Source organism: Homo sapiens, chromosome 8, assembly GCF_000001405.40.
Source record: "Homo sapiens chromosome 8, GRCh38.p14 Primary Assembly".
Lineage (NCBI taxonomy): Eukaryota > Metazoa > Chordata > Mammalia > Primates > Hominidae > Homo > Homo sapiens.
Genome location: NC_000008.11, coordinates 85,348,229 through 85,360,371, shown reverse-complemented (window position 1 = coordinate 85,360,371; position 12,143 = coordinate 85,348,229). Strand labels below are relative to the sequence as shown.

Genomic DNA, 12,143 nt, shown 5'->3' with positions numbered 1-12,143 from the left:
GTGCCCAGGCCATTTTAAAAATTTTTTACCTTTTAGATTGACAGGAAAAGGTCAGCAGTGCCTTTAATTTTACATTTAGGCCTACTTTCAGGGAAAATTGGTATTTCATCTTCTTATAAATAAAATCTGGCTGGCTTGATTTTTCTATTTAAGGTATGAAAAATTACTAGATATTTCAAGCAAGTTAGGGTTAGAGGAGGTAAAAGGCTACAAAATCTCATATTTTATCTTTCTAGAAGGATTTATGGAAGAAGGGCTATGGAATTTGTTCCCAAAGACTGGCTAACAAAGATTCAATGGGACTTGAACCGTTCTTTCTATATGTCCATAGCTTGCTTTTTCAGTGTCTGCTTTTTAACCAAATGCTACAACCAGAAAACGTAATTTGTCTAGAACATAAGCACATGTTTTCCATGGTTTTAGTCTCCTTATTGGTAAGGAATTTAGTCTCCTTATTGGTAAATCATACACAATACCAGTAAGTGGGTTTTAAGCCCTGGGACTCAGGTTTCAGGGTATCTGGATGTCCCAGGGTATATCAAAGAGGCCAGTGCACAGAGATAAGATACATGCCCACATTTTTAGGGGCATTAGTGGAATAAGCCTTTGTTATAATACCTACCAAGTTATCAACAATATGTGAAAGACTGTTGTGAGCAGCTTCTTCTGTGCTCTTGCACAAACAAAGATAAACAGAAAATAACCGTTTATGAAATTGGTCTTTTGTTTCTCCAGCTGCCCTGTCCTGTCTCACGTCATTTCCATGCAGGGCTTCCTTTTCATTCGAGGTTCAGTGTCTCTTCTTCCAAACCCTCTCCACCAATTAATACAAGAAGGGTCCTGATATCATCATTTACAAGTGGTTGAATCTTATTTTTCATTCGTTAGCAATTCCACGTCTTTCTATTTTTAAGAGTTACTTGAATTTCCCTAGGACTCATCCACCGAATGAAGTCACTGACTCATAGATCTGGCCTGCAGGAATAGATTCTCCCCATACTCCACTCCAATCAAAACCCACCATGTTAATTCTTGGATGTTTCATGTGCTCAGAAACAAGTCTGCTCATGTTCTTCCATCTGGCCTTCCAGTTACGGCCTTTCTTGCCTCAAAAGCTATTTTTAAAAGGCACTTCCTCTCTACCTTGGCTTCTGAAAACCATTAAGAGAATATGGCTTTGCTGAGTAGGGTACAGTGAGTAGGGTACAGTAATAAGTCTTCCCTTCCTTCAAACCTGTTAATTTCCATTGTGTTTAACATACAGTAACTTGACTTGTGTAAGGTTCTGAATGATTGTTTTCCTTTCTAAACCATCTCACACTACCTTCACCTGCTCACTATGCCTCGGCTCTGTTTCAGGTTTTTTGCACATAGAAGACCACCCAAAAACTCAGTGGCTTAGAGTGACAACTTTTTTTTCTTCTCACTGTTATGGGGTTGATGGGTGGATATTTCTGTTGGTTTTACCTGGACTTACTCACTGAGTGAATTTCAGCTGGGTGGCTGAATTTCAGCTGGGACAGCTGGAATGCCAGCACCTTGCTCTCCAAGCAGTATTTCCTCTTGAGGGAGACCAGACCAGGCAGGACTTTCTCACATGGCTCATCTGTGTTCTAAACAAGCACTTATCAAGCCTTCGCTCGTGTTGTTCGCTGATGTCCCATTGGCCAAATAAGTCATGTGGCCATGCCCTGAGTCAGTAAGGGAGGAGACTACAAAAGGGTATGGATACCAGAAGGCAGGATTCATTGGAGGCCATTAGCATCAACAAGACCCAAATGCCTTGTTTTATTTACTAGAATGCATCGGGCTCTTTTTTGCTTTAAGGTCTTTGCATAGTCTTCCTTTTAATCATTCAACAAATATTTAGGCACCCTCAGACACTGGACAAAATCCTCAGAGATCTCAAGAATCTTTCCTTCTAAAGAGGGGAAGCATATAATAAATACATGCAAAACTAGAAAAGATAATTTCAGACGGTTATAAAAGCTCCGAAAAAATAAACTGGGATAATGGGTAGAAAGTGATTGGCCAAAGTGGAGAGTGAAATGAAGTTTAGCGAGGTCAAGAAGGCCTTCTGAGGGGATGGCACTCCATCTAAAAGCTGGTGATGAGAAAGCACAGCAGCGAGGTGTCACAGAGGAGGAGTGTTCTGGCCATACCTCAACCTTGGTCATGGCTGTCCTGTCTCCTCTTGCCTTCCTCCTTGTAAGTAGCCCATTCCTGCCCTTACCACTGCCCACCTAGTTTATCCCTTTAGAAAATTCACCACAATTTTGGGTGATTTGCTGTTGATCCTTGTTTAAGTCCCTCATAAACTATAATGCTAATGAAGATAGAGTTGTTTCTGTATGTTTCTTGGATATTTTCATAGATCTATGCTTAGTTGACATTCAAAAACAATTGCTAAATGAATAAATAAATGAATTCACACAGTCACTCGTGCAGGTTGAAAGCATGACCACAGATGCTCAGAGTGAGACAAGTTCCTATGTCCAATTCCTCATGGGCCCAGACTACATTTGCCTGTCTCTCAGTTGGGACCAACCCACTATGCAAGTTCTTTCTACCCTCCTGGGGGTTTCATTTCAGGGGTTCTTTGGACTCTTTGGAACTTCCCTGACTCTGAGCTGAGAATAGTTGCTATCCCGTCCAGCCTAATAGGTTTCAATAAATGTTAAGTCCCAGAGACAAAGCTTTGGGGCCTTGCCCCTTTTCCCTTTAGGAAGTCTGCTGGAATTCATATACAAAATTTCTACCCCTTTTCCCTGCTACCTTCAAATTTGAAATAATAAAAAAAGAGATTTTATTCTATTTCATTAGATACCACCTCTCATGAACAATGATAGCAGCTATCAATCATACTGTAAGTACCAGGTAACTAGACACCTGGCCTATATTATCATTAACCCTCGCCACAATCCTGCAAGGTAGGATTCTTTTCCCCATTTTCAGATAAGGAAACAGAGGCTTATAGAGGTGAAATAATTTCCACAATAAATCCGAGGATTAAAAGGTAGATCAGGTGTTCAGGCCTACTTGAGTCTGGATCTGATGATCTTCCTACCAGACACGTTGCCTTTGTGTTGACCCGCTCCACATTGGGGATAAAAATACAGCTCCACTGTCTCTTATCTCCAGCTCTGAAATCCAAAAATTTCTGAAAACCAAAACTGTTCCTGAAAACACATGACCTGATGTGACCTGAACTCACCTGTGGGCCTAACCTGACCTGACACGAAGCTATTTATAGTCTTTATTTATTCCATGTACTATGACTATTCATACATTTGCTCCAAAAATAGTAATGTGTTCAATTACAAGGTACTCCCCCAGACCCTGATAAGGGCATTCATATATAATATTTGTGTTGTATTGCTTTCCAAAAATCTGAGAAATTCTGAATTCTGAAACACATGTGGCCCCAGGGTTTTCAGGTGTGCAACTGGGATTCTGTAATAATAAATTATGTTTGTCAATGGTTTTAGAGCTCACAAAGTTTTTAAGGGTTGAGGAAATTTTATTTTGTTTTCCTCTAGTACACAAAGAATAATTTAGGAGATTCATCTGCACCTTATTTTCTTACTCTTCCATAAAGCAGCTTTATTTCTGATTTCAGGCTATTAATCATACTTGATCCCAACAGAAGTCTCGAGTTATCTCTTCTTGCAGAAAGACATTTAGTTTTAAGATTAAGTAAAATGAAAAAAAAGGAAAGCACTTTTCAGAAGCGTTGGTATTCACTTCAGTTAAACTAATTTTAAATTTTTAATTTCCTAAAATAATGGCTTAGAATAGCACTAAAGTGAATATACTAAATGGATCCAACCATTAAAACGTATTCTAAAATTAGTGAATAAATATTTTTAAATGTAAGAAAATAATTATAATAAGAGTACCTTGCATTTATCAATTTGCAATTTATAAAACATTTTCACCTACCTGATCTCCTATATAATAATAATTATTATCATTATAGGAAAGTTGCCATTCACTGAGTGCTATCTTTTCATGAGACACTTTATATATACTATTTACTCATCCTCACAACTGTGTAAGGTTGTTATTGTTATTTCTGCCTCACAAACAAAAAAACTGAAGCTCAATGAGGCTGATATATTTGCTTCCAATTGTGCAAATAGAAGGTTAGAGTGAGTACATGAGAAAAGCTGTGTGTAGAAGGCATTTTCTTTTTGGTATTTTATTCTTACCAACATATGACAACATTCAATGTGTTTTTAATCTCAAGGTTCCTGATTGTCATAGAAAAAACTCTTGGGCTGGAGGTACAAAAAGTAGGATCAAATATCAACACTGCCACCCTGACATGGGACTTCTGGCAAGTGACAAAATATTTCAATTTCAATCTCCTCATTTGTGAAATGAAGGACGTTATATTCAGTCCACACGTTGTCATGGGAATTATGTCAAATACTAGAAGGATTAAATGCTAGTAAAGGAAGCCAAGAAAGTCATGGCAGGCTGAGGTTCTTGATCTTTCAATAAGAAGAAGAAAAAAAAACTAGACCTGCCATTTATCACTGATCAAAATGGCTTGGTTCACATAATAAGTTTAGCTTCAAGTTACATTAAAACAAAATAAATAAAATGCACTTAATCACTTTTTTAAAATAAAAAATATATACTTTTAAAAGTAAAAATTTAAATCTGGGCCAGGCACGGTGGCTCATGCCTATAATGCCCCTACTTTGAGAGGCCAAGACAAGAGGATCCCTGGAGCCCAGGAGTTCAAGACCAGCCTGAGCAAAATAGCAAGACTCTGTCTCTACTGAAAGTAAAAAAAAAAAAAAAAAAAAAAAAAGGAACTAGACATAGTGGCGTGCACCTGTAGTCCCAGCTGCTTGGGAGGCTGAGGTGGGAGGATCGCTAGAGCCCAGGACCTGGATGCTGCAGTGATCTGCACCCAGCCTGGGTGACAGAGAAAGACCCTGTCTTTTAAAAATTTGTTTTTAATTTTTAAATAAAAAATAAGTGCATAGGTACATTTGGTTGCTTTCTCACTAAGCTTTAAAGTTTCTTTCTTTGTATATTCACCTTCATACTTCAGTTAGAGAAAAACAATTTTGGGGTGATGTTTCTCAGTGTTCGTGTATACCAGTTCTTCCTTTGCAGCTACAGTTTTTCTCGCACAGCAGTCAGTGATCTCAGTGCCCTGACTGGCTGCATTTCTCTCAACCTCTGGTTCAAGCAGTCACTTGACCCTGAACTCAACTAGTGGTCAGTATCAGGCCATGAAACAGGGTGAGATAAGAGGGTACTGGAGTAGAAGCTGGGCTGAGCTGGCAGGAAGGGGATGGGCAGAGCAGGGACATACATCCTGACACAGGCAGCAGTCATTGGCTGTTACATAAGACCAACCACAGGTCAAAGGCAACGTCACAGTCTAGATTGGAAGACTGGGGCTAAGGTCCAGAAAGCTGAGTTGCTCCAGATGGCACAAGACAGAATGGAAAGCAGGCATACAGGTATAGGTTGGACATTCAAGCTAACCTAAATCTAGCTTCCAGAAAAGACAGGTTCATACATGTCTATTCCAGGATGTAACTAAGGTATGCTCCCTTGGTTTTAAGACTGTGCTCACAAACTTGTTTTCTCTCTTTATATCAAACACAAAAGTTGTCCTGGAGAGCTATTTATAAAGACAATGAGACTGCTCCTGCCTCGCCACCACCACACACACCCTTCAGTCAGAAGCTGGTTCCCCGCCTTGAAAGATCTCTCTTCTCTGTTGTCTCAGTGACTTCCACTGGTGACTCCACCTTGAATCTGCTATCAATCATGTAAAAGTCGTCCTTGTTCTATAAGCTATTTGCTTTCCTTTACTTTGTATATGTGTGAGGAAACAGATATTTTTTAGAGAACTCTAAAAACAGATCATCCCAACAAGATTTTGTCTTAGCACTTTTTCTGGAAGGAAGAATGGACTTCTCTGCTAAAAGGTGGTACTCTGGGGTGTATCTAAGAGATTAATTTCCTTCCATTCAACTTTCCCTTTAAAGAAAGCTGTCACCTTTGCCTCTCTCTAGATATGTTTTTCCTTATGTTAAAAAAAAAAGAAAAAAAAGAAAGAAAAATGGGCCAGGCACAGTAGCTCACACCTATAATCCCAGCACTGTGGGAGGCCAAGGTGGGTGGATCACTTGAGGTCAGGAGTTTGAGACCAGCCTGGCCAACATGGTGAAACCGCATTCCTACTAAAAATACAAAAAAAAAAAAAAAATTAGCTGGGTGTGGTGGCACAGGCCTGTAATCCCAGCTACTCGGGAGGCTGAGCTGGGAGGATCTCTTGAACCCAGGAGGCAGAGGTTGCAGTGAGCCGAGATCCACATCACTGCACTCCAGCATGGGTGACAGTGAGACTCTGTCTCAAAAAAAGAAAAGAAAAAAAAAAGTATGTATTACCTTTCCCTCCCTGTCAGGATAGTTATTAGAATCTAAGCAGTGAGAAGTCATTGAGAAGAACAAAAATCTATGTATTTATTTACAAGGTATTCATATTACTAGACCCCTTTTCCTGTATCCAGTAGCAGTCCTCTCCATATACAAGGAAATGTACCATTCATTTCAACTTTGTTTATAACAATGAGAAATAACCTAAATGCCCATTGATTGAGGAATGGCTAAATAAACAATGGCAAGCCATAAAAAAGAACGTTGCAAAGCCAAAAAAAAAATACTCTTTGTATAATGGCCAAATTCCAAGAAAATGAATTAAGGAAAAAAAGTAAAACAAAACATGTAAAACAAAAAGAAAAAAATTACTCTTTGTATAGTAATAGGGCCAAATTCTAATGTATTAAGGGGAAAAAGTAAGGGACAAAAAAAGCGTATACAGTATGTATTATTTGTATTTTTTTCGAAAGAGCAAAATAATACGTGCAGTTATACCCATGTATATGCATCAAATATCTCTTTAAATATATGAAATAAATTGATAACTTTGGTTTTCTCTGGGACAGAAAATGGGAGAAGATTGTTTTTTACTTTGTACCCTTTTATACCTTTGAATTTGAAACCACATGAACATAGTACCCGTCCAACAAAATTAAATTAAGATCATAAATAAAAATATCCCTGGGTGATTTTTCACAATGTGTGAGAAACTCAAGATGCAAATGCTACCCAAGTGAGCTGAATTGCAAGTCTATAGCGTCATGTTAGTTATTAGTGTGGCACAAGATTAATGGCTCATGTTCTTCTTGCTTTCACTTTTCTCCCGCTTAAGCCAGATATTTCTCCTCAAATTTTTGACCACTGGAGAGCACACAGTGCCCTTTGGTTCTGGCTCAAAGCAGCCTGTACTCTCCCCTCTGGGACTTGGGTCCTTCAGCAATATTCTTCCCAGGCCTAAACTCTCAGCCTCTGGTCTAAGCAGTCACTTGAGCCTGAACTCAACTAGTGGTCAGCATCAGATCATGGAATAGGATGGTGTAAGAGGTCCTGGATTAGAAGCTAGGCTGAGTTTGTGACCAGTCTGTCCAACTTGGCAAAACCCCATCTCTATTAAAAATACAAAAATTAGCCAAGCATGGTGGCACATGTCTGTAGTCCCAGCTACTTGCAGGCTGAGGCACGAGAATCACTTGAATCTGGGAGGCAGAGGTTGCAGTGAGCTGAGATCACACCACTGCACTCCAGCCTGGGCAACAGAGTGAGACTATGTCTCAAAAAAAAAAAAAAAAAATGGAGCTGAGGGCTGAGCTGGCAGGAAGGGGCTGGGCAGAGCAGGGGCATGCATCCTGACATAGGCAGCAGTCAGTGGCTGTGAAATAAGACCAACCACAGGTCAAAGGCAAGGTCACAGTCTAGATTGGAAAACTGGGGCTAAGGTCCAGAGAGCTGAGTTGCTCCAGATGGCACAGGACAGAATGGAAAGCAGGCATACCGGTATTGGTTGGACATTCAAGCTAACCTAAATCTAGCTTCCAGAAAAGACAGGTTCACACATGTCTATTCAGGATGTTACTAAGGTATGCCCCCTCAAATGGTTTTAAGCACTTTTCCTGCTGAGGAAGTAGAGAGAGGGAGCCAGGATTCTGCAAGTGCCACTTGTAACATGTAGCGGGGCCAAATGTGATTCTCTCCCCTCCCACACTCAGTGCTGTCTAGCCCAAATTTTACACCCTAAGAAGCCATGGATCATTGAGTTCAAAACATACTTTCTCCATCCACCCCTTGAGGTTAGGTTGAATGATTTGGATGCAGACCTGGTGTTTCAGGAGACAGGTTGGTGACATTAATGGTAATATGCAACTATGAGTTACAAAATCAACCCATAGCTAATTTCAACAACCAGAAGTTGTGGTGCCTGAGACAGTGCCCAACTGCCATGGTACCGTTTGTTTTGTTCCTTGTTCATATTATGATGAAGGGATTAAGTTGTGTTGGAATTAGCTTCATCTAGACACTGCAGTTCAAGTCTTTCATCAGTAGCTGCATTTTAATCCTACTGGGTTTAATAACAGTACTAAAAATCTTTATGGTATGTCATTTAATCATCGACCTTTGCATTACTTCAACAGCAGCCTTACAAGTAACAAAGAATAAATCCTGTGCTTGCCTCTAGGTTTTCCACAGAGGTAGTGAAAAGAACTGGATTTTCAAGTTCACTTTGCAAGAGGCAAGTAGGAAGGAGACTGAAAGCTGCTCGTAAATCAGTAAATCAGTTGCTTTAGGCCGGACACCTGCCCTGTCAGTCTCAGCTACATCCAAATGGAAAAATGGGTGATCTAGGATTACCCTCAGGCGATGCCAATGGCCAAGGCACTAAAAGGTCACATCTATTATTGCTGGCATTTCTTTCCCCACTGGGCTGTTTTTTGAGTGGATGTCATACTCATCTCATACAGAAGGCATGTCCATCATGCTAGAGCAGTGCTGTCAATATTAGATCTAATGAAATACACCCTATTTTTCTTTTCTGCAAACTTCATTATACCTAGCTGCCGCTAAAAGATGATTCCTTTTTTCCTTACTACTCCAACATTACATTTTAGGGACATGAATCCTTAAGCAAAGTTTCATTCGCCACCTCTGATTTTAAAGTTAAAATGAGTCTTTTAAAAACATTAACCAAAATAAATGGCACAGTGAGTGCCATACCCAGAAGTGGCTACATAAAGCCACTACATAAACAGTCAATGCTCCCTTGGAAGAAGTCACTGGCCTTTACTAATAATATCATGTTCATCAGCAAACAATTTGGCAAGTGTGTAGTATCAGAAGTTGGGGGAGGACTAGAAACACAATCTTAACACACAAAAATAAATGTGGATAAAAAAGTGTAGCAACAGCTGTTGCCAGCTGCAAGCAACCACGCAGTAAAATCCTGTCCAACTCTGCAGGGGACTGTATGAGGACTCTTGGAGCCTGAGACAGGAGTGACAAAAGATCGCATTGTAAGAACATCGAACGTGAACCCTGGCTAGCAAGCACCCCTAGGAATTACCAATAGGAGGAATTGAGAACATTGCCAAGAATTCATCTTCCCCAGATCGAATCACTGCATAAAATCAGCCCTATTTGTTCTAAGAAGTCCACATTCATAAGCTTCATTCTAACTGAGCTTGGTTCTTAGCCTATAAGGCCCATAAGAACTCCTTTGGACTCTGTGGATCTCCATTTTAAAAGCGTTATTGACTCGAACCTGGGGAGGTGTTTTTCCTGGAGTTCTTTCTCACCAGACTAGTTCTGGCTGCCTCCTGGGTGATGATGGAAAACTGAGGCACTTGCCAACATGTCATCCCCTCATTTTGCAACCCTCAGGCAGTTGCACAAAGGCTATGTGGAACTTTACCAACTAGTTAAAGGCAGAGTCCGGGACAGTCTTAAAGGAATTAGGACTATTACAATGTCCAAGTGTTGCATATTAAGGAACTCCATCACAGGGCCAGATAAACTAGGTGCAAGGCGATGCAATTAAGAGCCTTTCATTCAACACCTCTTCACTCATAACCCTGGGGTTTTGAAATGCAGCGCCTTTCAAGTCACACTTGAAAACTGTTGCCTAAGCAGCCTCTCCAGAATTTTCTGATTCCAGAAGCTAAAAGAGCCCTAAGAAACCACAGGAGAAGCTGCCCTGCACTCCTTCTGTGGGAGTCACTGAGGACAGAAGAGTTACGTGATATCAAACATCTTTAAGAGGCCTGAAAATTCTTCACTTACTTAGAGCTAAACCCATCTTAGAAATCTGCTTATTGTATATGTTTAGGTAACTCTCATTTGCCTGGAGCAACTTGAAAAAAAATTTTTTAGAAAGTAAAACAGGAAATTCAGAATAAGACATGGCCTTGACCAGCTAAATTAATTGCCCAAGTAACCTTTTGCATAAAGGAAACAGGATCAGGAAGGATTTCCATTCAAACCTTGCTATTTTGCCTTCAGGTAAGAGGACAGGATTCTTTTCTAAAATTTTGCTGTGAAGACCCTAATAAATAATTTTGCTTTTTTCTCCTCCCTATTCTAGAAATAGAAGGGAGGAGGACCTATTTTGTTCCATCCTGTAGGCTGATCCTTTACACCTAGGACTGGAAGAAATAAGGTAGATTTTTGTGGAAATGTAGAATATGCATTCACCAGCTACACTGGAATCAGGAAGCATAAATCACAAGTAGCTTGGTCTCTCCACAGAAATGTGGAAATGGTAGGCCCTGAAAGAGCCTCAGTAGGGATGCATGTGATAGCTTCATGAGCTGGGCAGGCTAGCTGTGGAGATGCAAAAACCACAGCATGCAGCATGCATTCTCTCCAAAGATAATGGTGGTCCATACCCCATCTCCAGCACCCATGGACAAAATCAAGCCAAAGTTATAGGGTCTGTTTTAGGGAAACTACAATGACTGTTGTGAGGTAATAGTTTCCCACACGACTAAACTCTTTTGTGATAATAAAGTAAAAAGTAATGAAAAAAAGTTACTGTTAGTTTGATTTTATAATTTATCATAGTGGGAAGAATTCTTGACCCAGAGTTTAAAGACTTGACATTCCACTTTTAACACTTTCATCTGACTTTGGACAAGTGGCTTAATTTTCTCATCTGTGAAAGCCTCTTTCTTCCTTTTGAAATGGAAATACTGATATTTGTTTTTCTCAGCCTCCGAACTTCTTAAAAGTTACAAATTAAGATCATGTGAGTAAAAAAAGTACAGGAGTAAAATGGTCTCATTCTATTGGGCTATTCTAAAAGAAACTATTTCTATTTCTTTCTTTAAAAGCACCTGTTGTGTCCTTAGTGTAGAGGCTAAAAATAAAAAGATTTTTTAAAAATCAGAAAGCACTTGTAATCATTCCATTTATTCCTTCCCCATTTATTAGAAAAACCCCGGGGTGAGGGGGTCAGATTATGTCCCTTGATTTCAAGGCTGATCAGCTAATGTACATCATCAAATCCTTAGAAGCTCAGACATAGCCTTGTGTCCTCCTTAACACCTGGCTGCATTAAAGTTTCAACCATAGCCCACAAAGTTTTCTATTAGTAGTAGCACACTCAGTAAAAAATAAAAGCCATCTTTTACTGTGCATCTGCTATGTGTATTAATCGTTAATCCTCATTTAGAAAATATTTTTAGGTATTTTATACTTATTAACCCAGTTTTATCATAAAGAAACAGCATTACTCAAAGAAATTGGGTTAGACAGATTTAAAAAATTTTACTGTTAATGCTAATTCTTAAAAATAACTGTGAAACAAAAGACAGTCTAGAGACTAAAGGAACGTTGTAGATACTACTTCATCCTCGTTACATGTCTTTGTTTACTCTTTTAAGATCAGTAAAGAGGACCTCTATAATGTACTTTTTCTGTGAAACCTGCCCTTGAGTAATGAGTCGTTCTGCAAATCATTAATTCAAATAGTGCTCTTGCCACTTTTCTTTGATAGATCTACTAAGACAAAGATCAGAGTAAATTAAAATGACAATCTCCTGCAGGCAACAACTGGTATTGCCAGTACTAGAAGGCATTTAGTTATTGTACCTGTCTTTACTTAATCATGGCTCTGACTTGAGCATTTGATTTAAAAACTACTGCAGAGCAAGTCACCACCCTGTATTTAGCATACTGACTTAATAATTAAAAGGGTATCACAAAAAATGAATGAAAAAAAATTTATTCACTGGAGTTAG

General features: G+C 39.4%; 1 protein-coding gene across 6 annotated transcripts in view; it reads left to right on the top strand.

Moving 5' to 3' along the window:
• CA1 (carbonic anhydrase 1) overlaps nt 1-12,143 on the top strand; it is a 50,506-nt gene that overhangs the window by 17,742 nt on the left and 20,621 nt on the right. The window contains exon 2 of one of the 6 annotated variants that reach the window (NM_001128829.4): nt 10,487-10,561. The exons of 4 other annotated variants lie outside the window; for them this stretch is intronic. The gene's annotated coding sequence lies outside the window, so the exon portion shown is untranslated. Of the gene's footprint in view, nt 1-8,587; nt 8,642-10,486; nt 10,562-12,143 lie in introns of all 6 variants that reach the window. One more of the 6 variants, NM_001738.5, reaches the window with a different exon arrangement.